Below are 27,008 nucleotides of genomic sequence, written 5' to 3'. Positions count from 1 at the left end.
TAGCTGCCCAGCTTCTGTTTAGTGTCTGGTTTTTGCAGCTCATTCTTTTTCCCTCTGGTGATGATCTATATAGAATGAGACCTAAACTCACATGTGACGCATTATGTGTGCCTTTGACTCTTTTCCTCTACTAATGTCAGCCTGCAGTGTGTTTGCTTTGGAGAATCATTTTCTACAGCTCTCATTGCCCTAGATGCATAATATATAAGATTTTTCCTAAGATAGTACTCAGGTCTATTAAGCTAAATATACATACGTGTTCTGGGAAGATAATGCCCAGTTCAGTCCTTTGAATTCAGTTGTTGTTGTCACTTTCTTGAGCTTTGAAAAGCTGTACATTTTTAATTCTTTCATTCAGTTCCCTTTGGAAGGCCGCATTGTTCTCTAGCTCTTGGGTATTTTGTCTGTGCTGATATTACCTTTTTTATTGCTTGTTCTTTACATAGGTTTTTGGTTTTGGTTTTGGTTTTTTCAAGACAGAGTCTCACTCTGTTGCCCCAGCTGGAGTGCAGTGGCGCAATCTTGGCTCACTGCAACCTCCACCTCCGAGATTGAAGTGATTCTCCTGTCTCAGCCTCCCAAGTAGCTGGGATTACAGGCATGCACCACCACACCAGGCTAATTTTTTGTATTTTTAGTAGAGATGAGGTTTTTCTATGTTGGCCGGGTTGGTCTCGAAATCCTGGACTCAAGTGATCTGCTCACCTTGGCCTCCCAAAGTGCTGGGATTACAGGCGTGAGCCGGTTCTTCACATGTTAATGCTCAAACTCATGTTATGTCAGGCATCCTTCAGAAAATACATAGCCTTATTGAAGTAATAGTTTCTTTTTTAAAAAAAAAAGGAAACAAAATTGATAAGTTGTTTTTATGTTTTATGATTAATAGTAGAAGTTGTAAAGACAGATTAGCGTTAAAATATTTTGGGTCTAGGTTTGCTATAATAAAAATATTAGAATTTCATTCCACTCAGGTGAACTTATTAGTTTAAAATATATATCATATAGAAATTCACCATAGGGGTAACAGATGTTTCAGTAATGAATATTTGATTCTTCATCTCTGTAAATATTACTCAGCAGAAACAATATGCTGAATAAGTACAAACAAAGACTTTGGAATGTTTTTGGAAATCCTTGGGCTTCCCTCTTAAAGAGGGTGAATCACAGTTCTTATCCATAGAGATGGAGTATCCTTCCATGGCTCACGTGGGGCTGTCACTCTGGTGTAATGCATTTAATTGTTTGTTGTTGATGATTATCTAACATGTTCAGGCTGCGGTAACAAAATGCCATAATCTAGGTAGCTTATAAACAACAAAAATTTCTCTCTTACAATTCTGGAGGCTGAGAAGTCCAAGATCAGGGCGCCAGCAGATTCAGTGTCTGATGAGGGCCCACTTCCTCACAGATGACCTTCTAATCATTGTAATGTCACATGGGGTGGGATATCTGTGGGGCTGCTTTTACAAGAGCACCAATCCCATACATGAGGGCTGCACCCCCGTGACCTGATCACCAAGCAAGGGCCCCACCGTCCAATACCATCACCTTGGGGGTTAGGATTTCAATACATAAATTTTGAGGAGACATAACATTTAGACAATTGCATTAATATTTAACAAATATTTACTAACCAACGCATTTTAAGAAGAGTTATCACTTTCAAAGTCCATTTTTGAGGAAAGGAATTTATTTTAAAAATGATTGCGTTTCTTAGGAGTTTTCTTCTTGCCTTTGGAGGCAATTTCAAAATATAGTTTCTTGGAAACAACTTAACTGTCCATCTTGAGGGGAATAGTGAATTAAATAATGGTACACCCAGGCATTGGTGTACTCTTAGCTACAAATACGAGAATGAAGAATACTAATATGGTAGGATCTCTGGGATGCTATGAGATGAGAAAAAAGTAAGGTGCAGAACAATGTATACTATATTTGAACAATGCGTATAGTATGCTACATTTGCCAAAGAGGAGGAAATAAAAATGTATATCCATATGTGCTTTGTTTTAAGGAAATGCTGAATGATGTACAAGAAGCTAATACAAGCTGCACCTGTGGGACAGGGAATATGGTGGATGGAGAGAGGGTGTGTGCCTTTTATGTCACTTTGTTTGATGAAATGTATGAGTATATTAACTATTTAAAGGAATAAAATTTTTAAAAAGAAACAAGAAGGAAAAAGGGTGAATTTTGGCATCAGACAGGCCCAAATTTTAAATCCTGTACCTAACACATTTTGCTGTGCTCACCAAATAGGGATGTTGTAAGAATTAAGGGAGCTAAGATATGTAAATCACTCGATACAGTATGATAGTAAATGCAGAATATTGTTGGCTATCAGTAATAGAAGCCACGCAATTTAATCAACCTCATACATTTATAATAATCCTTATTTTTATAACATCTTCATAGAGATATAATTCACATAACATACAACTTACCCACTTAAGGCTTAAAATTCAGTGATGTTTAGTGTGTAAAGAGAGTGGTGCAACCATCACAATAATTTACATATGCGTATAAGAGAGGATGAAGAGGTTAAGTAATATACTCATAGTCAGACAACTAGTAAAAAGCATAGCACAGGTCTGTCTGACTCCACAGCAAACTTTTACCCATTACGCTTTATTGCCTTTATTATGTCAAATGGGCTAATAATTTCCATCTCCAGGTGGTTGTTAAATGAGATTTTATGTAGAAACCGTATAATAGAGTTCATTGCATATTCTATGACAGAGGTTGGCAAACCTTTTCTGTAAAGGACCAGTTTGTAAGTATTTTAGTCTTTGCAGCCATATGGTATCTGTTGCAACTACCCCCACTAGGCAAAACCCAACCATAGACAATACTTAAATGAATTAGGCATAGCAGTGTTCCAATACAATTTTATTTACAAAAAGAATTACTGATACACATCAAAGGAAACAACAGAGTGAAAAGACAACACAGAATAGAAAATATATATAAATCACATATCTGAAAAGGGGTTAATATCCAGAATATATAAGAAACGTCTATAACTCAACACAAGGGGAAAAAAAAACAAGCCAAATAATAAAATAAGCAAAGGATTCAAATAGAGAGTTCTCCAAAAAGGGTATGCAAATGGCCAATAGGCGTATGAAGTGATGCTCAACATCACTAATCATTAGAGAAATGCAAATCAGAACCACACATCATCTCACACCCATTAGAATGGCCACTACCAAAAGAACAGAAAATAACTAGTGTTGGCAAGAATGTAGAGAAATTGGATCCCCTGTATACTGTTAGTGGGAATATAAAATTGTATAGCCATTATGGAAAACAGTATTGAGGTTCCTCAAAAAACTAAAAATAGAGTTACCATATGATACAGCCATCTCACTTCTGGGTACATATCCAAAAGAATTCAAAGCAGGATCTTGAAATAATTGTACACCCATGTTCAGTGCAGCATTATTCACAATAGGCAAGAGATAGAAGTGACCCAAATGTCTATCAACAGATGAACGGATAAAGAAAACATGGTATATATACAAAATGCAATATTATTCGGCCTTTAAAAAGAAGGAAATCCGACCACATGCTGCATGATAAACCTCAAAGACATCGTGCTAAACAAAATAAGCGAGTCACAAAAGGACAAATAATGCATGATTCTACTCATATGGAGTATCTAAAATAGTCAAAATCATAGAAACAAAGTAAAAAAGTGGCTACAAGGGCTTGGAGGAGGAGGAATTTGTGTTTCATGTACAAGTTTCAGTTTTGCAAGATGAAACCTCATAGAGATCTGGTGCACAACAACTTAGATATACTTAATATGACTGAACTGTGCGCTTAAAAATGGTTAAGATAGTAGATTTAGTACTATGTGGTTTTTACCACAGGTAAAAAAAAAATTGCTAGCCCATTGTTTGTGGACCCCTGCTTTACGAAGTAAAAAAATGCAAGCTTTTGAAATCATCATCAAGATTATTATTTTTATTGTTTTATTTTCTCATGCTGTAGTGTGGAACTATTTTTGGGGTGTCCCTTTTAGTGACTTTCTTGGCTGCAAATACGTAGAAAGTGTAAAAATATATCAGCAACTATGAGGGTTGGGTAAATTCAGGCAATAGAAAACAGTGGCAAGTAAGGCAGATGTGAGTAGTAGATGCTACCATCCTCATATGCCTTCATAATTATTCCCTATAAGATGAAAAAAGAATAGTATGTTTGTTTACCAGGGCCAGTTATAGCTCATTAAACATTAGTGTTTCCTGAAGAACTTTTTTCACATTGTCCAAATATATGTGTCAAATTTTACTTGGGAATTGCATAACCAGATGGACTTTCCCAAAGCTCTGTCTTTTGGAACAACAAAAATTAGAAACACTACTTTCTAATCCAAGAAGACTTTTTAGAACTATATGTACGGACTAGCTATTTTAGTCCAGTCACCTCCGCAATGATACTTCAGCAACTCAAGTAGGCCATCTGAACTGAAGTAGGCCATCTGGTCCACCACCTTTCTTAAAGAAGGAAGTCTTTGTAGAATGGAGCAATAGACTTGTTGAGATATTGTCCAGTCTCATTTTGCAGATTTGGGCACCAAGACCCAAAGAGGATTAGAGGTTTGTTCCTAGTTACACAGCTAGTTAGTGGCATAACTGAGACTAGATTGCAGTTCTCCTCATTCCCATGCCAGTATTCTTTTTATCTCATTGTTTTTATTAAGGTATATTCTGTATTGCATACAGTAAAATTCACCATTTTTAGTGCACAGTTATGCAAGTATTGGCAAATGCACACAGTTGAATAACTACCACAACAATCAAGATAGAAAATTTCTATTTCTCCAGAAAATACTCTCCCAATGCTCCTTGGTTGTCAGCTCCTTTTATTACTACCAGCCCCTGGCAACCTATGATGTTTTCCATCCCTACAGTTTTGCCTTCTCCACAAAGCTATATAAATGGAGTCATAGTGTCTGACTTCTTTGACTTCTGGAGATGGATTTAGACTTATCAAAGCTGTGATGTGTCATCATCCCATTCACTTTCATTGCTGAGTATTCCACTAAATGTATTAGGTTGGTGCAAAAGTAGTTGTGTTTTTTGCCATTATTTTTAATGGTTAAAAACTGCAATTACTTTTGCACCAACCTAATATAACCACAGTTTGTGTATCCATCCCCCAGCTGTGGGACATTTGAGTTGTTTGCAGGTTTGTTTGACACAAAGAAAGCTGCCATAAGCACTCACACATAGGTTTTTATTATAAACACTGATTTTTATTTCACTAAAAAAGTAAATATCTAGAAGTGGAATTGCTGATTGGCATCTTAAATGTATGTTTGACCTCATAAGAAACTGCCAGAGCAATATTCTTAAGATGGTGGAAAAAGAAGAAAAACAGAATTAGAGACTGGCTTTAATACATATGAAAACAATGGGAGATTTCTGAAAAAAAAAAAAAAAATACTGCATCTTTGTAGAAGTTCTACCTAGTGCTTCCTGGAGCCATCAGTATCATTAGGGGCCCCAATTTCCTGAGAATCTCAGGTCAAACATGTTTACTGTTAACTCATTTATTCAAAGCAAATTTTCTCAGTATCTATTGACCAGGCAATAGGATATGTCTTTCTACAAGTGACATTGAGAAATGCTTCCTTTTGTCTCTCTTCTGAGGAAGAGAATCTTCTTGCTCCTGAGAAAGAAAACATGAGCCAGTCAGATTCCTTTTTATGCATATGTGAAGAATGTCTGATGTTCTAATTTTCTAGTATGTCTCAAATTATGCTACTTGAATTTCCAGGCTCTTTCATGCCTTTTATTTAGTTGAGGCTTTGGTGTTACAAATCTGATGTTCACATGCCAGTTCTCTTCAACACAGTTCTTCTGCTTTATCATTGGATAGCATGAGCTTTTCCTTGCCTTGGTGCTCACATGTTCCATGTACAGGATATTGACTCTCTCAGTTCTCTTTCTAATGGCCTCTCTCAGGCTGTTGGCAAACTGCCCTCTTCTGCCACGTCCCAAATATTGATTCCTCCTGGGGGTAGGTCCTCTTAGTTGTTGGCATTTTGCATGCTGCCTGGACAATCTCACCCTCTACCGCTTAAGCATCCCCTACTTCATAGTGACTCTCAGATTTACGTTTTAGACCTCTCTGAAACTACAGATTCTTATTTTTCTCTCTCTAAAAGATGTGTACCCCTGAATATTTCTCTGACATCTCAAATTTAAAATATCTGAATCTAACCCATTATCTTTTCTACCATCTCCCGAGTCTGTTCTTCCTCCTGTGTTGGTTCTCAAGGTTAATACCTCCATGACTCACGCTGTCACCTGTCATGGAAGGCTCAGAGTCACCTGTGATTACTCCGTTTTCCTCATCACTCACATGGAGTCCATGACCAAATCCTCAGAGTTCTGCTTGTGAAGTGAGTTTCCCATCTTTCCCAGCCTTATCTCTACCCTAACCACTGTGTTAATTCATTCCTCTTCAGCTCTTTCCCAGGCCATTTGAATAACATTCTAGTTATCATTTGATCTGAAGTCTCTGTCCTGCTCCCTCAATTCTACTTCAATTAACTTCCCACTTCTATTGCCAGAGTTAAATATATTTCTGACAACATTATTTCCATCCTTAAAACATTGAATGGTTCCCAATTACCTACAGAATAAAAGTCAAACTCTTCAGCATCGCACAGCCATTCTAGGCATTTCATGGATGTATTAACTTTGGACAAGTTGCTTGTCAGAAATTAAGATATCTTCATTATAAAAATGGGAATAAGATCTATTTCACAGGATTGTTATGAATATTGTATAATAAAACTCATGAAAAGACATAGCCTTGATGAAATATTAACTCTTCTGAGAAGACTTACCTCATCTTTCAGGCAGAACCAATCATTCTCCTATCCATCTGCATTTCTTTTTTAAAAAAAATTTTATTTAAGTTCCAGAGTACATGTGCAGGATGTGCAGGTTTGTTACATAGGTAAACGTGTACCATGGTGGTTTGCTGCACCTATCAACCCATCACTTAGGTATTAAGCCCGGCATGCATTAGCTATTTTTCCTGATGCTCTCCCTCCCCTCACCCTCCACCCTGACAGGCCCCAGTGTGTGTTGTTCCCCTCCCTGTGTCCATGGGTTCTCATTGTTCAGTTCCCACTTATGAATTAGAACATGAAGTATTTGGTTTTCTGTTCCTGCATTAGTCTGCTGAGGATAATGGCTTCCAGCTCCATCAATGTCCCTGCAAAGGACATTATCTCATTCCTTTTTATGTCTGCATAGTATTCCATGGTGTATATGTACCACATTTTCTTTATGAAGTCTATCATCGATTGACGTTTGGGTTGACTCCATCTCTTTGCTGTTGTGAGTAGTGCTGCAGTGATTATATGCATGCATGTGTCTTTAAAACAGAATGATTTATATTCCTTTGGGTATATACCCAGTAATGGGATTGCTGGGGCAAAGGATATTTCCAGTTCCAGGTCTTTGAGGAATCACCACATTGTCTTCTACAATGGTTCAACTAATTTGCATTCCCACCAACAGTGTAAAAGCATTCCTGTCTCTCCACAACCTCACCAGCATCTGTTTTTTCTTGACTTTGTAATAATCCCTGTTAGGACTGGCGTGAGATGGTATCTCACTGTGGTTTTTATTTGCATTTCTCTAATGATCAGTGATGTTGAGCTTTTTTTTCATGTTTTTTGGCCACATAAATGTCTTCTTTTGAGAAGTGTCTGTTCATGTCCTTTGCCCACTTTTTAATGGGGTTGTTTGTTTTCTTCTTGTAAGTTTGTTTTCTTCTTGTAAATTTGTTTAAGTTCCTTATAGATTCTGGATATTAGACCTTGGTCAGATGGATACGTCGGAAAAAATTTCTCCCATTCTGTAGATTTTCTGTTCACTCTGATGATAGTTTATTTTGCTGTACAGAGCTCTTTAATTAGATCCCATTTGTCAGTTTTTACTTTCGCTGCAACTGCTTTTGACATTTTTGTCATGAAATCTTTGCCCATGCCTATGTCCTCAATAGTATTGCCTAGATTTTCTTCTACAGTTTTTGTAGTTTGGGATTTTACATTTAAGTTTTTTGTTGTTGTTGTTGTTGTTTTATTTTTGTTTTTGTTTTTGTGGGTTTTTTATATTTTATTTTTTTTGAGACAGAGTTTTACTCTTGTTGCCCGGGCGGGAGTATAATGGCGTGATCCCAGCTCACTGCAACCTCCGCCTCCTAGGTTCAAGCGATTCTCCTGCTTCAACCTCCTGAGTAGCTGGATTACAGGTGCCCACCACCATGCCCAGCTAATTTTTGAATTTTTAGTAGAGATGGGGTTTCACCATGTTGGCCAGGCTGGTCTCAAACTCCTGACCTCAGGCAATCCACCAGCCTCAGCTTCCCAAAGTTCTGGGATTACAGGAGTGAGCCACTGTGCCTGGCCTACGTTCAAGTTTTTAATCCATCCTGAGTTAATTTTTGTATAAAGTGTAAGGAAGAGGTCCAGTTTCAATTTTCTGCATATGGCTAGCCAGGTTTCCCAGCACCGTTTATTAAATAGGGAATCCTTTCCCCATTGCTTGTTTTTGTCAGGTTTGTCAAAGATCAGATTGTTGTAGGTGTGCACTCTTATTTCTGAGTTTTCTATTCTGTTCCATTGGTCTACGTGTCTGTTTTTGGCCCCTCTGCATTTCTTAGCACTTTGTTCAGACTAATAATACTGTATTCATCACATAGTATCCATTATTCTTCCATCCGGTGTGCTCCACACTTTGTGTGAGGTACTAGAGATAAAAAGGGAGTGCCCATTCTAGCAATAAGGATAGAATGATGTATGCCATCATAGAGACACATGATAGTATAATGATGGCACAGAGCTGGAACTCAGCCTCACTTGGGAATAGGTGGGATAAGGAAGACTTGCCAGTGCTACAACAGATGAGCTAGTTTTTAAGGGATAAAAATGTTAACAGGTGCACAAAGGGTGGCAGAAAGGGAAGCCTGTATAAAAGCAAGGTAGTGCTTTGTCTTCCTTGTAGACTATGAGCAAACTTCAGTTGTGTTCTAATTTTACTTTGCATAGTGCTAGCGAGAGGTGGATCCTCTGTATGTTTTTGCTAATATAAATTTAATTGTTGCCCTTTTCTCTCATTTTCTTCCTCTATTTCATTTTCCACTAAATCTTCTCAAAGCAGTGAATGCAATATCAATTTTCATGGATTCACAAGAAAATAAACGTAGCTACAAAGCCATTTTGAATCATCTTTCACCATGAGCAACATTACCTAGGATCTCCTTTTTTAAGAATCTCTTCATTCCCTTGTGATCTTTTTCTATTGACCCATCAAGTAAAGACAATGGCAAGGGCTCTTAAACATAAGCCACTCACCTGCTTTGAGTGGTTTCATCTAATATTTTCAGTCCTTAAATGTTCTCCTGAGTGACACTCTCCAGTGATTGTTAAGTGAACCTTCTTCTATGACCATGAGCTCAGCGGCTAATGGTAGATAAGGATTTTGGATGAGTAACCTAATAGGAATCTGAACAGATTATTCTTCTGTAGCTAGGGTCTTTTGTTACTACTTCTTCATTCAACCTTATTTGATTATGATCTGCGAATCACGTGTCCCTTCTCAATTTCCTCCAAGTCCACATTTTCTCGAACTGCTACCTCCTTAAGATTTCCCCCGACACATTTCAAAATCTTCGCACCCTTGCAGAAATGTTGTGGCCAGGAATATTTCTAATTTTATCAAGTCTTTAAGCCATCAGAGAAATTCTCCTTGGAATGAGCTTTATATTTAAAGGCCAAAAGACATGTTTTTTGAGGGAATTATTAAAATCATATGTCAGTTTATCAGTAGCAGTTAGAATTATGAGATGTATATCCTGATTAGCATCTTTTCCTGTTTCGTTTTTATTCTGGGAATCCATTAGGTCATTTAATCCAAGAAGGAGTTTTGTTTAAGGCTTGACATGGACTCATGATTCTTGTCTGTTACATTGTTCATGGTAGAAAAATATCTGCCTTTTGTAGCGCCCCTAATGGTTCCTCTAGCCAGCATATGGGAGACATGTCTACACATTATTTGTCTAATATGGACTTTTTCTATCAGGAATGATCCTTGTCATTGCTGCTTCACAGCTCAATGTTTTAAGTCATTCTTTGCATACTGATGAGTAATTTTAGGGAACTTCAGAGACTTCAAAAATGCTTCATGTCTGCCCCTGCAGAACTCACCAACCTCAAATGCATTGACCACTTTGCATTTAAATGTACTAGGTGAAACAATATATGTGATATCTCTTGTTTGGACAATTTAAGATGGTCATAAGGTTGCATTGTTATGTCACCTTGACCTTGTGGCTTGACTGTGGATTTGAAGGATCTTAAATTACTAATGTTACATTGAAGAAAGATGAGTTACAGGTTTTCAACAATTGATATTGGTTTTATTCTTGAGGATAAGTATAGACCCTACAGTCTAATATGTGCGGTGTTCAAATGTCCTATGGGATTTTTAGAGAGTCAGTTGATTTAGAACATTGACATGTGGACTGGATAAGAAGAAATCAAAGCCACTTTCAGAGATGCACTGAGATGTTCTGGCTTTTCTAAGAAGAAACAGAAAAATATGCCATCTGTGTGCTTTAGGACTTCTGTCCCTAATATTGCATATTAACTAATTTCTCTGTGGCCTTTTTTGGGGGGACCACCAATTCTCGGTGTCTGGCAAAAACCCCTGTACAGTGTAGATGTTCAAGCCTCCCATTGTATCAGAATTTCTACATGCCAATTCTAGAAGGTACCATGTGCATAGACTACACTGTGAATGGACTCTAAAGTTGTGCAGCCATTGGTCCAGTCTTGAGCCCCAGACAAGAATAAAGCCTTCTATCCTTATCCTTCTCTGAAATAATACTTCCATTCTTAGTATCCCCCTTTTCATTTTGTTCATTTTTATTTTATTTTATTTTATTTTATTTTATTTTATTATTTTATTTTATTTTATTTTATTTTATTTTATTTTATTTTATTTTATTTTATTTTATTTTATTTTATTTGAGACAGAGTTTCACTCTTGTTGCCCAGGCTGGAGTGCAATGGCGCGATCTGGGTTCACTGCAACCTTCGCCTCCCAGTTTCAAGCAATTTTCCTGCCTCAGCCTCCTGAGTATCTGGGATTACAGGCATGTGCCACCACGCCCAGCTAATTTTGTATTTTTAGTAGAGACGGGATTTCACCATGTTGGTCAGGCTGGTCTTGAACTCCTGACCTCAGGTGATCCACCCACCTTGGCCTCCCAAAATGCTGGGATTACAGGCATGAGCCACCGTGCCCAGCCCTCATTTTGTTTATCTTTTTACAGTAGCAATTATACAATCATTTATTTAGTAATTCAAAAAACATTGAGAACCTACTAAGTGTCAACTACTATTTATATGCTGTATGTTAGGGATACAGGGATGAATATTAAATTCTTGCCTTTGAAGTCATGTTAAGGAGACCTATATGTAAAATATTATAGCACAGAAATGTCTGAGGTGTGACAGAAGTGTGGATGTTTGCAGTGTCATATAGGAAGGGTATCCAGTCTAGAAGAAATGTGTCAGAAAAGGTTACAAGGAAAAGTGACCTCTGAACTTTGCCAGCTATTAGTTAGCAAGATGTGTTTATTTCCTCTTTAGTCATCAAACACATATAAAATTGCCAAAGTGTTAAGAGCTCTAGAGAGGTACAGCATGTTGTGATAGTATATTTACTATAAAACCGTGTATTTGCTGAGTGCCTGCTTTGTGTCAGGCCTTTACTAGCTTTTGGCAAAATATGATAAGCAAGATAGATATGGTTCTTATATACATGGATTTTACATTTTAGTGGAGAAGACACTCATCCACAAGCAATCATAGTAACATGGTGGCTGATATGAATGGGGTCATTAATTATGCTTTGGGGAGCAAGTAAGCAGAGGGACTTCTCTGGCTCTAAGGGATCAGGAAAATCTCCTTCAGGAAGCTGAGATCTAAAAGAGGAAGAAGAGTTAGCCAGATTAGGTGGTGCTTGGCGACTATAGAAAGAAAATGTCCCAGTTGCAAGGAACAGACTGTTCTGAGGCTGTATTAGGGTTCTTCAGAGAGAAACAACCAATAGGGTATATATAGACATATAAGAGGAGATTTATTATGGGAATTGGCTCGCATGATTTTGGAGGCTGAGAAGTCCCACGATCTGCCATCTACAAGCGGAAGAACCGGGAAAGCTGGTGGTATAATTTAGTCAATTCTGAAGGCCTGGGAATAGAGGGAGCTGCTGGTGTAAGTCCCAGAGTCTGTAAGCCCAAGAATCAGTAGCTACAGTGTCCAAGGGCAAAAGGAGATGGATGCCCCAGCTCAAGGAGAGAACGAAACAAGTTGTCCTTCTCCACTTTTTTGTTTCGTTCATGTTCTCAACAGACAGGACAATTCCACCTACATGGGTGAGGGCAGCTCCTCTTTACTTAGCATGCTGATTTAAATGCTAATCTCTTCTGGAAATACCCACACAGGTACACCTAGAAATAATGTTCCACCAACTATCTGGGCATCCCTTATCTCAGTCAAGTTGACACATAAAGTTAACTCTCACAGGGGTGAAGGTTGAAGAAGTTTGGTGTGTTCCAGGAGCATGAAGAAGCCTAATATAGTTAGAGGGTTAGGAGTTGGTCAGAAGGGAGGGAAGATGGCAGGAAGTGAGATTGGAAAAGTAAGGAAAGGACTGGAATGTGAAGTGAATGCCTTATATGTTTGCTTTTCTCAAGGAATCTAGAATTTATCCTGAAGACAGTGGCAACTACAGAAGGGTTGTGAATCATAGACTGTCCTAATCAGATTTCTATAACAAAAGATGAGAGGATGCACTGGAAAAGCAAAGACAGGGGGCAAGACATCTAGTTAGGAGGCTGTTGTGGTAATCTACACAGGATATGATAACAACCTGGATGAGGGTGGTGGCAAATGAGGATGAGGAAGTCATCCTCATCCCCAAGAGAAAAGGAGACTAGACAACCCATGGTAATAGATTGAAAAACGGTAAAGGAGAGGGTTGTAAAGATTCATCCTTCACTCCTCTTCACCACATTCTCCTCCCCCAAATTCATGACCTTCTTGCAGCAGAATTGTTTTGTTTTACTTCTTCCAAATGGAGATTCCCAGACCTTATCTTGAACCTGACAAATTAGACCCTCAGGCCCAGGCACTGGTATTTTTCACAGCTTCACCGCAGTTGACTTCTGTGCATGTGAAAGCGTGAGGGTCTGCTGTCCAGCTCTATGCAGATTCAGAGCCCACAGCACTCCACGCAGCACTCAGAGCACAAGGGAGTATCTGAGTCAAACTCCTTTTGGCCTTAAGGAGTTCGCTTGTCATAACCAGGTGAATTCAGAAGGAGTTTTCAGCTCTTAGGGTTCCTAAAGGTATCCTATCTTAAAACCCAAACTAGGATGGAGCCCATCTAACACTATCACCTAAACTTGCAGGTTATGTCTTCAAGACCTAAGAAAGTAGCCCACCCTCCATAGTTCTCAGGAGACAGCACTGCTGAAATTCCACCTCCTATTTCCCCAGAAATATGAAATAAGTTTTCTTAGGCAACCCCCAAAGGATAATAAACAAGTTACTTTACACAGAGACTCTACAATTTCCTGTGCTTGGCAGGTATAAGGGCAAAGTTATCATGGTACTACCTCCTGTGAATAAAGAAGAGAGGAAGAAGAGAAAGAAAGATAGTTGCTTCAGCTCTAAAAGGTCGGTTCGGGGATTCGTATTGGAAACCATTAAAGTCTCAGAGTTAGGTAGCAGTTTTCTGAATTATTAATATCTAACATTAGCATTAGATACTAGTTTTTATTTCTATATAAAGTTTCCCAAATCTTCACTTTATCACCAGTGGAAGTCTGGAGCTAATACTGATTGTGGACCTGTGTACACACTTCACATTTTATTAATAAATTCTGCATTTAGTTCACACAGTAATTTTGCAAAGTAGATGTCATGGACTGCATTCTACAAATAAAGAAAAGGAGGCCCAAAGAGCCACAATGCCTGCCAAGGCCACACAGCTAAAAAATATTATTTCTATTAGTCTGAATTCCTGGAGAGCCAATAAGAATGTATGTATGTATAGAGAAGGAAATTTATTATAAAGAATCTGCTGATGTTATTATGGAGGCTGAGAAGTCCCAAGATCTGCAGTTGGCAAGCTGGAGACCAATGAAAGCTAATGGTGTAGTTCCAGTTCAAATGTAAAGGCTTGAGGACCAGGAGAGCAGATGGTGTGAGTTTCATTCCAAAAGCTGGCATGCTCAAAACTCAAGACGAGCTAATGTTTAAGTTCAGGTCTAAAGACAGGAAAAAAAAACCCAGTGTCTCAGCTCAAGGCAGTCAGGCAAAAGGAGTTCCCTCTTACTCTTACTCCTGGGAAGGCCAGCCTTTTTGTTTTATTCAGGCCTTTAACTGATTGGATGAAGACCATTGACATGGGGAGGGAAATCTGCCTAACTCTATTTACCAATTCTAATGTTAATCTCATCCATAAACACCCTCACAGATACACCCAGAAAAATGTTTGACTAAATATCTGGGTACCCTATGGCCCAGTCAAGCTGACACACAAAATTAACCATCGCAGTGTGTAAGATGACTAATTGCCTCCAAAGCCCATGCTCTTTCCACTCCCCTATCTGCCTGCTGTGAAGTATTTCTTATTTCAAAAATACATGTTTTTCTTTTGCAAGAAACTCAAGATGCACTTAAAGAAATTAACACTTGAGACTATTCAAATAAAAGATTTAATAGCTTGCTTATCAAAACATAGTTATCACCCTCCATCTTCCATTTTGCATTTTTTGGGCTGCTAGGAATATGTGGTGTATGGTTTTGCTGAGATGTTTCCTGCATACCTGAGCTATTGGGTCCCTAAGAAATCAAATTTGTTTGTTTTTCAACTTGGCATCATAATGAAGCAGAGATGTCAGCATAGCATTTCTTAGTGCTGCCAATATCTTGAGTAATCTTAATCTTGTTAGATCAATAATGTGAAATTTTGCTAGTTGCCATTTTAATTGATTTAATTGAAATTGATTTGGCATAAATGAGTGGACAGAAATTTATTAACAGTGACCATGAGGGTTTGAAGTATCTGCTATGTAAGAAGTATGTGACTTTGATTTATACATCTAAAGGCTCCCTCTTTCCAAGTTCTATTAGAGAAACAAACCTAATGTTTAGTCCTAAAAACTATTAAACATTGGTGAAGGTAGTATATGGAGATTCTGAAAACTAAGTATTTGGGTATTCATTTCAGTTTATCCCATTTCTATCATGTGGTTGGTTGTTATAATTCACAGTTACTGTAAACTACATATGTGTGCATTTATCCTTATGTCTATGTATCAGAAAATTTGATTTTTCTTTTGTCATTTGTGTCCCTAAAATTCAGACAACACCACAGAAACGAGGAAGAGATGAAATAATAGAGCAAATTTTATTGACCTTTGTTTTATATATTTTTTAAATTAATTCTCTCCTAACACTTGGATATTTGTTTTGTTACGGAAAGAGTTTTACTATAATAATTTTGGTCTATCAGGATTTGACATGTATTAAAGCATAAATAAATGGTCTCTAATTTTCTTGCTATTTTTGAAATTTTAAATATGCACTACCTTTTGTGCTTCCCTGTTCCTTTTCTTCTCCTTTTCTTTTCAATTCTCTTCACTGTCCCTCCCTTCATCCCACTCCCCACCCCCACCAAAGTGCTCTATCACTGAAGACCTTCCGCAGCCCATGGAAGAGCTATTAGAAATTTATTAAGAACCAATTTCTGCTTCTTTGTCAGGGACAATCATTTGTTTTAGAGCTGATTTTCTGCCTTAATTAAATGAAAATGTCACTCTGTCAAATGAATTCATTTATATTTATTAATCCAGTTCTCCAGGCTTGAATTTTCTAGTAGGGACTTGGGCTCATCATATTTGCTCATAGAATAAACTGAAAAATGTCTCTTACATCAATTTAAAAGACTCACAAATTATTGCTCCACCCTGTATAAGTACTATATAAACAAAGCTGTGATTAACAAATGTGTGAATGATTTTCTTGTGTAGATGCTATCTAGGTGCATATAAATATACATATTTGGTTATGTTGTTGCACACACGTGCGTCTGTGTGTGTTAGGGCAGGAAAGTGATGAATATCCATTACTGCGGTGCCTTAGTACTTTAAGAAAGTGTCAAAGGTAACATTTTAGCCACCTGTGTGTTTTTATTTGCCTTTTCAAAATGCTAATTGATGATGCAAAGTTTAAGTGCTACTCAGTCTTTCCCTCCAAAAATATTAAAGGATTACTTATTGAGTATGGTCTTTGTATCTAACATTGTAATAGGTACTTAAAAAAATTAAAATGGAATAAACATATTCATTCACTCATTGAACAGCTTTTTTTGAGTTACCTACTATGTGTCCGATGAGGTAGTGGGAATCAGTGATGAACAGTGCATCCTGAATCCATGCTTTTATGGAGCTTACAGCATCTAGCTCATAGTAGGTACTTGGCAAACTGAATGAGCAAATTAGTGAATTAATTAATCTTGCAAGAGAAAGAGACAGCAGACTGATAATTATTAAGTTATTAATTGCATTAAGTCCTCAAAGGAGAATGTACAGACTTGAGATTGTATAGTGGGGACTCACAAAGGCAGGAGTTGGAATCAGGGAGAGTATTTACAAAGAGGGAACAATGATGTTAAGATATTTTGCTAGAGCAGGGGGTAGTTGTGAGGTGACACTGGAGAATTTTGCCAAAGCTAGACCACCAGAACATTTAGGTCATATTAAACATGTGGGCCTTAACCCTAAGAACTTTAGACACTCGTGGAAGAGCTTTAAGCAGAGATGTGACATGATCAGGTTTCATTTTGAGATTTAAACCCTTCCAGAAGGCCAGCACACTAGTTCTTTTAAGCTTTCTGCTCTGTTTCTCCAGAACACATACTGAAAGGGGTAATATTACCTTGAATTCTTCAAGAAAAAAACAAATGCAATTAAAGAAATTCTTACTGGAATGGTAGAAACTGGCACTGATGCCTCCCTAGCACGAGTAGAGTTTGCTTTAGACTTTCTGGCCATCTCACAACCATAAATGTGAACTCCTTAATCATCCACCCTTTGTGGCAAAATCCCCGTGGGTACCCACAGCATCTTCGAGGTCCCTTGTATACACATTACCATTTTCCTTCCTATAAAAAGCATACTTTCAACTCTACCTTTTTGTTTTGTGTTTTGTTTTGTTTGTTTCGTGGTTTTTTTTTTTCTTTTACCTTAAGTGGTCTGGAGAAAAAACTTGTTTTAGAGGACTGCAAAATTGAGTTTCCAACAATGTAAACAGTGACTTCATAAAATAGGCAGTTTTAGTCTTTAAATAAACCATTCTTTTGTTTTCCTTTCTGTATCATAATAAGAGTTAAAATTATGGCTTTGCAGTTTCTATTGTACTGGGAGTCGATTGGTCCCTTGAGTTAACCTGGCATTCAGGTCAGGAATTGCCAGTACTTTTGTTTCCTCATCTTCAGAATAGCTTCTGGTAGATACTAAGATTTGTTACAGTAAAGATATTTGAAATACTTATTACTTAGACTCCAGGGAGCCCATCCTATTCAAGCCTTGGTCTTAGAAGGAAAAGGTTGAGAAAGAGTTGAAGAAGTCCCTCTTTATCAGTGGACTTCTTTGTGTATTGATAAAGATGACCACTGCCCAGGTGGAGCAAAAAGTGATCTCCTGAGCAGGGTAGGAGAATGGCTTTGACCCAGAGCTCCACCTCAGACCATGTAAGGTCAGCTCGTAGAGTATTCAGTTGAATAAATGTTTGCTGAACACTTATTATATGCTATATATAGGACCCTTCAGCCCAGTAAGTATTGCAAAACCTTAGAGCTTTAACTTCTCCAGTTTTTATCGGAATTGGTCCACACCCCAGGATACTTAGCCACACATGAGGCCAGGGCAAATAGCAACATCAGTGATAATCACTATCATTTATTATATGTTTATTATGTTTTAGCACTGTTCTAAGCACTTTTTTAGCACTGTCATTTTATCCTTATACCTCTGTGAGATGGGAGTTGTTATTATCCCTTTTCTTCTGCAGATCAAACAGCTGAGGCACACAGAAGTTAAATTATTTGAACCCAAGTCACACAGTATAAGAAGTGATGAAGCAAGGATTCAAACACAAGCTCTCTCCAGGAGCGCGATGCTCTTAGATACCATGCTACGTTCGTTGCTATAACTGCATACATTGGGAATATAGTATCTCATCATTGCTTTGTGCCAGGTGCTAGAGTTACAACTGGGAACACAATATAAATGGTCCCTGTCCTAACTGGGTTTGGAACATGGTGGGAGATTATATTAGTCGGCTGGGGCTGCCATAGCAAACTACCGCAGACTGGGTGGCTTAAACAACAGAAATTGATTTGCTTGCTGTCCTGGAGGCTAGAAGTCCAAGGTCACGGCGTTGGCAGCATTGGTTTCTTCTGAGACCTCACTCCTTGGCTTGTCTATGTCCAACTTAACCCTGTGTCTTCACATGGTTGTCACTCTCTGTGTTAGACCCAAGTCATATTGGATTAGAACTTATCCTAATGACCTCATTTTAACTTAATTGCCTCTTTAAAGACCCTGTCTCCAAATATGTTACATTTTAAGATACTAGGGATTAATATTTTAACATATTAATTGGGGGGGCAGGGAATAATTCAGCCCATAACAGAGATAGTTGTTAAAGAAGGAGAATACACACATATATATATATACACACACACACACACACACACAGTTTAATGCCATACCCTGTATCAATGATCCATTATAACTACTACTTAAGTGTTTTCTTTAAAGACTTGTTTTATATCTATAAATGGTCTAACATGGGATGTGTTAACATATTTTCATTCTCTGAATACCACCATTCTCTCTCATCCAGTGAATTGGATATACTTTCATCCCTGGAGTATCCATATACTACTCTGAACATGCTCAGCCAATTAGCAGTCTTTAATATTCTAAGTTCAGTGTGCTCCTAGGTTATATTTATTCTGCTTTGGCCTCTCTTCCTGTCATTTATTTTGTCATCTGGTGATTGCTTTTGATGCATAATGACAGAAAAGGTGTGCAGGGGATAGTGCTAAAACTACAGTAAAGAAACAAAAAAAAGTATAATTATGGGATGTTAAAATTCAAGGCTTATAGAGACTCAAATTTGCTTTTAAAGTAATGGCTAAAGAAGCAGAAGATAATGGTAAGTAGGAAGTTAGGAATGATCTGGACTTCATGAAAGGCAACATGAGTATCACTACCATCTGAAATTGGCCGCTGGTTGTTGGAAAAAACCTATGGTGAGAGGGCATGTGAGACTTAATGCGATTTGAAAGAGTGGTTACCATTGTCCAGTACCAAGTTGTGTTAATACAACTTACATACTGCTAAGTTGTATTAAGGGCAATAAAGGAAAAGTATAAAATACAAAGAGCAGCTCTAAGTTAGACTGGGGAGTAATAGTTACCTTTAAGTGGTAGTAAGAAGGAGAAATGTGGTCTGGCCGGATGAAGTATAGGAGAAGAGCAAGCATATAGTTGGAAAAACACATACTAAGCTCTGAAACAGGAAAGTTTGTTTTGTTTTGTTTTGTTTTCAGAAGACAGGGCCTCGCTCCACTGCCCAGGCTGGAGTGCAAAAATGCAGTCACAGCTCACTGCAGCCATGACCTCCTGGGCTCAAGCAATCCTCCCACCTTAGCCCCTTGAGTAGCTGGGACTAGAGGTGTGCACCACCACACCTGGCTAATTTTTTTTATTTTTTGTAGAGATGGTGTCTCACTACATTGCCCACACTGGTCTCAAACATGGGCTTAAGGGATCCTCCCACCTTGGTCTCCCAAAGTGCTGAGATTACAGGTGTGAGCCACTGTGCCTGGCCTGAGTTTAGCATTCCCTAGGAACTGAATGAAGGCCACAGGTTGAATCACAGAGCCCAAGAGAGAGTCATGTGGCTGGGACACAGGCAAAGGCCAGGTCCTGTGGAGCCTCAAAGCTACATTAAGGATTTAGAATAGGATCCAAGAAGTGCAATGAGAAGCCATTAAAGAATTTTTTTCAGTTTCTTTATTTTTGACAACAATATTTATTTTGGGGGTACAATGTGATATCCATGTATAGATTGTAGAATGATTAATTAGGCTAATTAACATATCCATCATCTCACGTACTAATGGTTTATTTGTGATAAGAACATTTAAAATCTACACTTTTAGGCCAGGCACAGTGGCTCACACCTATAATCCCAGCACTTTGGGAGGGCAAGACAGGAGAATCACTTGAGGTCAGGAGTTCACCTAAAGTAATATGGTAAACCTTGTCTGTACTAAAAATACAAAAATTAGCTGGATATGGTGGTGCATACCTGTAATCCCAGCTACTCAGGAGGCTGAGGCACAAGAATCGCTTGAGCCCAAGAGGCAGAGGTTGCAGTGAGCCTTGATTGTGCCACTGCACTCCAGCCTGGACAACAGAGCAAGACCCTGTCTGAAAAAAATATAAATAAAATCAACACTTTTAGCAATTTGAAATATACATCATTATTAACTGTAGTCACCATGCTGTACAATAGATCACAACAATTTATTCCTTCTGCTTAGTGGGAACCCTTTGATTATTTCTCCCTTTCAATTTAAACAAGGGAGTGATGAGATCCCATTTACATTTTCAAAAGATTGTACTGACAGCTGTGTGGAGATGGATTGGATGAGAGCAGAAATGAAACCAAGGAGGTCAGATAGTCCAATTTTGCAGAAATGTAGAAGTGAACAGGCGACAGTTAAAACTGAGGTCATAGCCAGAGCGAATGGGGGTGGATCTGTTTGCAGATAGGATCAATAGAACTTGGTACTGGATTGCATTTGGGAGGAGAAGGGCGCTTTAAGAGTGAGTGCAGGTGGTTGGCCTGAGCAGCCACAAATGTGGAGGCACCTGTGCTGAGGAAGAAGAAGCATGAAGCAGAGAGTTGTCCTGGAAATGAGAGAGGTCAGTTTGAGACATGTGAGGTTTGAGGTCCCTTTGAAACACCCAATAAAGCAGTTAGATGTCTGAGTATGATGCTCCAGTGAGGGACCTGTATGAAAATAGAAACCGAGCAATCATTAGAATATCTGTGTCAAGTATGCCATCGGAGTGGTGCGGTCACTCGATCACTAGACATTTCCGCCTTTCACTCACATTAGGTTTTGTTTATCATCAAGTAAGAGAGCTGAAAGTGCAGGCTCAAAGTATCCTGTGGGTGCTTCCCTCCCTGAGCTGCAGGTGGGCGTTTATATATATCATGGGTCTCTTCTCATGAAGGTTTGTTCGCATGAATATCAGAAAAGGGCTTGAGAGGGAAAAGCTGTGCTAAGAAAGACTACGAAACAGCATTGCAGGGCCAGGTGGTGCCCTACACCGGCTTCCATTTCCAGCATTACTTTTGTCAACAGTGGAATAAACTATCACAGAGTGGCTCACCATGGTCTTGGGAGTCGAAGAGTCTAAGTTGACCTCCCAGCACTGTCCCTCACTCCCTGTATAACCTTAGGCAAATGACAGATCTCTCTGAAAGTAAGTTTTCTTTTAAGTAAAATGGGAGCACATATACCTAGCTCAGAGAGTTGCTATCAGGATTAAAAGGGATATTTTTGCAAAGTAATTATTAGCACAGATCTCAATAAACAGTATATAGTAAATGGTTCTACTTCTAAGAACACGTTCTTTGCGGAGATTAATGTAAGGATGAAGAATGTATTTTATAAGGCTATTCTAATAAATCAAACACTGAAATTTTGTGAAAATTCTCAAGCCAGCAAGATAAGAGAGGGGATCATTTAGGGTATACAGCTGTATCACTTCCATTAAATTGCTTCAGACACATGCTAGATTTTTTGTCAACCAGAATCACAGTCAAAGGTTGTACCAATATCTAAAGACAGTTTTCAGCTTTTGTGAACAAGTTTAGTGGGTGGTATATATAAGCTTCTATATACAGATATGCATTTGGATCTTTTTAATAATTTCCTTTGATCAGACTGAATAGCTGGTTGGAGAATCATTTCTAATGTTTTAGAAAATTTCTTTCTGTGTACATAAAGAGGATGTTTTACAGGATAGAGAGGATTTTTAGTTTTTTCTGGGACTGGAAGAATCCTCACCACTACTACCTCCAAACTGTCTAGTCTATCCCTTTGCTCTATACCTTTGCGTTAATTATTAGTAGTTCCTTATTTTTTAATAATTTTTTTTCCATAAGCTTTTGGAGAACAGCTGGTATTTGGTTACATGAGTAAGTTTTTTAGTAGTTATTTGTGAGATTTTAGTCCACCCATCACCCGAGCAGTGTACACTGAACCCAGTCTTTTATCTCCTACCCTTCCCCCAAGTCCCCAAAGTCTATTGTGTCATTCTTATGCATTTGCATCCTCATAGCTTAGCTCCCACTTATGAGTGAGAACATACAATGTTTGGCTTTCCACTCCTGAGTTACTTCACTTAGAATAATAGTCTCCAGTTCCATCTTGCTGCGAATGCCATTAATTCATTCCTTTTTATGGCTGAATAGTATTCCATCGTATGTGTATACACCACAGTTTCTTTATCCCCTTGTTGATTGATGGGGATTTGGGTTGGTTCCATATTTTTGCAATTGCAAATTACACTGCTCTAAGCATGCATGTGCAAGTATCTTTTTCATATAATGACTTCTTTTCCTCTGGGTAGATACTCAGTAGTGGGATTGCTGGATCAAATGGTAGATCTACTTTTAGTTCTTCAAGGAATCTCCACACTGTTTTCCATAGTGGTATTTTTAAATGTTCTGCTGAGAAATATTTATGGTTATTATCCAAGTCAGTATTTTTACTAAGTACCTGCTGGGTGCCAAGCACTCTCTGGACTCAAATGAACAAAGCAAGGCAGACTCCTGTTATTTCTGGACTCTGCAAATGTGATTTAACTGGAGGACAATACAAGGATATCTGTGATTTAATTCTCATTTGAGCCATATATAATTAAGTGCTCTGGAATACCTCTGACCAGTAGAACTTCTGAAATGATGGAAAGGTTCTAGTTCTGCACTGTTCAGCATAGCAGCCACTAATGACATGTGGCTATTGAGCACTTGAGTTGTGGTCAGTGTGACTAGGAACTGACTTTATACTTTATTTTAATGTGAATAACCAGAGGTGGCTTCCAGCTACCATACTGAAGAGCATAGCATCAGTAATTCTGAGGAGGGATGGTGTGGACTCCAAGAATTCAGGAAGGAAGAAACCTGAGCTTAGAAATAAGGAGGAAACTGGAAGAAAACTCCATTTAGGGTGGTAGCATGAGCAAAGGCTGGGAGGAAGGAAAAGGTATATGGTTTATGAAAATTACGGAGGAAAGGAAATTGAGGGAAACAAGATGAGAGAGGCTTTCTGAAAATAGGAAGAAGGTTCTAGAATCTAGACCATTCCTCTACTTTACATGTTTGTTGTATTTTACTAGCACCAAACCTCTCATTATTTGGAATAGTGGTTGCATAGTGTTTAACTTTTTTATGCCTTTTATAAATAATTGTTTTCCACAGAGTCATCATTTGCAATGTACAAGTTGTTTGTTGAAATTTTTAATATCAGTCAGATGGGAATCTAAAGAGAATTCAAAGAAGCCATTACTTAGCAGAGGTTAAAGGAACTCAAAAGGGTTGTTAAGTCACCCAGGAACAAGCAAGGCAGAGGCCTAAGTGGCAAAAGTGTGGGAGTGTGTTAAAGAGCTCTGAGAAGAGCTGGAGCCTTGGAGGAGGGGTCAGATGCCTGCAGGGAGGGAGGAAACATTTCAGAGCAGGGCAGCCAATGCCAAAACTGTCAGGCGCAAGCGGGGTGGGGAGAGGAAAGGATAGCCTCACCTCTCACCTCCTGCCTCCCACTGATACCACTCACTGGCTAAATGCATCCAGAAGCTAGAGGGCAAGGGATGGCAGGCTGCATAGTCCACAGAGCCCAGCACTTCATTGGCACAGAGCTGGACTGAAGAGACAAGAATGGATAGCGAGGGAGGGGTGGGGAAAGGAAATGGAAATAAACAGCACTGTTATTTTCCCCCCTTAATGTTTAAAAAAATAATAATGTCTTAGTTTCAGCTGCTATAACAAATCTGCCATTTTCTGGGTAACTTAAACCACAGAAATCTATTTCTCATGGTTCCAGAGGCCGGAAAGTCCAAAATCAAGTTGCCTGCAGATCTGGTGCTTGGTGAGGCCCTTCTTCCTCATTTGTAGACAGTTGCCTCACACGGAGGAGAGCAGGAAAGGAATTTCTCTTCTGTCTCTTCTTACAAGGGCGCTAATCTCATTCTAAAGACTCCACCCTTGTGACCTTGTTACCTCCCTAAAGCCCTGTTTCCAAATACCATCACTTTGGGAATTAAGGCTTCAACATATAAATTTTTCTTTTGGTGGGGCACAAACATTAAGTTCATAGCAAATGCTAAAAGGAAAACCAGTTTACTATCTAGTATGTTGGTTAGATTATGACAAAACCATATAATGGTATGAGATGCAGCATTGAAATTACATGTAGTAACAAGAGAACATGCTCACTAGATATTAAGTGAACATATGAAAACATCACATACAAAAAGATCAAAATATTGTATTTAGTAGTGTATATACAATAAAATATAAATGTATATTATTTTCACACAAAAAACTGAAAACATACAGCAATATTTTAACAGTGGTCTATCTGGATGGTGGTTTAACGTGATTTTTATTTTCCTTGTATTCTCTCAGGTTTTCCAAATTTTCTAAAGCAACATAATTATTTTTATGATCTGGAACAATGTTTCTGTTGTTTTTTGATATACCTGCAGGGCTATATTGAGTAGAGAGAGGTATATGGCCAAGTTCCTTTTTATCAGTCATTTGCTGGCTCTACGGTTAGCATAGGTCTTTGCATGTACCCCTTTCTACAGTGACCAGGCACCTTAGCTGCATTTCTTAGTGCATTAAAAACGAGACAAGTCAATAAAATGCTCTTCTTTAAAAATATTCCTTTGAGAAACCGTGAGGTACTGGAGAGTGGCCTGATTTCCTATTGATCGTTTTATTGCCTCAATTATTTTCTCAAACACGGTTAGTTAATTCAGATCCCCACCAACCACTTTTCCCCATTGTCTGTTACATTTGGTCTCTGTTAAATATGAATCTTTGGTGACACTTCCATTACTAAACTGACAGTTGCATAATGCTTTATTGGCATCTGTAAGAATGGTACATATTTCTTAGGAACTATGGAGACGGTAGGCTTCTTTTTTTTTTCTGAACCACCTAAGCATAGCCAGTTGTGTGTGCTCTTGTAATTTTAATCTTTAAAACAGCAATCCATCTGTTTCACGGTTTTATTCTTTCCTAATAGAAAGAATTTCCTCTTACTGTCTTACTGATCTACAACCATTTGACCATGATGGACTCTTGTAAATGGAATTATCTGAAGTGATTTGATGACTTTTCACATTAGTTTTCATTTCAGTAAATCCACTCCCTCTTCCTGGCTTGCTTTTTAACCTCCAGCTGCTACCCAATTATTAGTTGTTGGATGACTGCTTCAACAGCATTACTGTAGTGCTTGCTTGTAGCAGACATTAATAATACTAAGCAGTTTGTAAATGTGCACAGTGTTAAACGCATGTAAGGATTGTTTATAACTCTAATCATAGTTTTGCTACTCGTAAGTTAGGATTCTTGTGGTTGCAAGGAACAGAAATCAACTCAAGGTGGCTTCAGCAAAACAATGGGCCAAATACATTGGTTGGATAATCCTAATACACATAAAGAAGGAGTCTTCACCAGGGCTTCAAGACAAAGAGCCAGCAAGGATTCCAGAAGAATGAGAACTGTGAACTGGAAAACCAACAAGAATTCAGACAATCTGCTCTCATTTTCTCTTGTTTCTGCTTTTCTCTCAGTCTACTTCTTCATTTTTTAGACACACTCTGCAGGTTGATTCACAGAATGGCAGAAGGTGACTTCCTACTCTTTTCAAGTTGACTGGCTATGCCCAGAGCCCTCAGAACTCTCTCAAGTTCTCTCTCAATTTCTCAACTTTCTGCTCCCAGAAAGGAACTTGGGCAAGCTCCTTTCTTTTCTTAGTCTAACTAGTGTATGTCAATCCTACATACACATACATAACCTGATAGCCTTGCTATCAGGTTAGGGTTAACATACACTAGTGAATGGTTAAACCATGACAGACCACAGCACAATGAGGTAAATGCTGTGATTGAGGCAGCTAGAGAGGAAGTTCTGCCACTCCCTACTGTAGGACCTTGGGCAAGTTCCTTTCTTTTCCTAGCCTCACTTTCCAGTAAAATAAAAGGAGAAGGTTCTGCCGCTTCCCATCCCAATTCCAAATTCCCTGGACAGGAACTCTAATTGACCCAGCTTTGATCTAATCAGCAACAACTGTAGGCAGAGTTGAGAGGTACGTCCCTCACTGCCTGCAGACATCCCATTTCCCCTGTGATCATTTTGAGAGGATCAGACCATTTTACGAGGTGTCAATCATAATTAATGTGTAGTTGATGCCTTCCTTGTACTTAGTATATTACAGAGATACAAATTTGCCAAAGTAAGCATCTTTTTACATTAATATTTAGAGGAAGAAGAACCATATAGCTCATAAGGATCTGGCCAGGGAAGAAGTAGATTTTGGAGACTCATGTCCCACGTGGTGAGAAAGAGTAGATTTTGCATTCTTCACTTAAGAAATTGTCATAGAGATATTTCAGGGAGATGATGGGATGTGATCAAAAGAACTGAAGTAAAATATCAGAACTAGGAATGACACTGAGAAAAGTAAAATAGAAAAGGATTAGCTTATAAGAGGCAGGCAGGTTTCCCATTGTGAATATGGCTGT

At 38.5% G+C, this 27,008-nt stretch overlaps 1 protein-coding gene and 1 long non-coding RNA gene across 12 annotated transcripts in view; one reads left to right on the top strand and one right to left on the bottom strand.

The window, feature by feature from the left end:
* Positions 1-27,008, top strand: part of SAMD12 (sterile alpha motif domain containing 12) — a 490,139-nt gene that overhangs the window by 244,093 nt on the left and 219,038 nt on the right. Inside the window, exon 5 of one of the 10 annotated variants that reach the window (XM_047421781.1) lies at positions 2,015-2,171. The exons of the other annotated variants lie outside the window; for them this stretch is intronic. Within the exon in view, the coding sequence (XP_047277737.1) occupies positions 2,015-2,028 (14 nt within the window). The 3' untranslated portion in view covers positions 2,029-2,171. Of the gene's footprint in view, positions 1-2,014; positions 2,172-27,008 lie in introns of those variants that run through there. 10 annotated transcript variants of the gene reach the window in all.
* The window catches only part of LOC105375724 (uncharacterized), a 141,651-nt gene that overhangs the window by 45,163 nt on the left and 69,480 nt on the right, over positions 1-27,008 (bottom strand). The window lies entirely within an intron of this gene.

The sequence above is a fragment of the Homo sapiens genome, chromosome 8 (assembly GCF_000001405.40).
Source record: "Homo sapiens chromosome 8, GRCh38.p14 Primary Assembly".
In the NCBI taxonomy this organism is placed as follows: Eukaryota; Metazoa; Chordata; class Mammalia; order Primates; family Hominidae; genus Homo; species Homo sapiens.
Note: the sequence above shows the minus strand (reverse complement) of the source record. Positions and strands in the feature narration are given on the sequence as shown.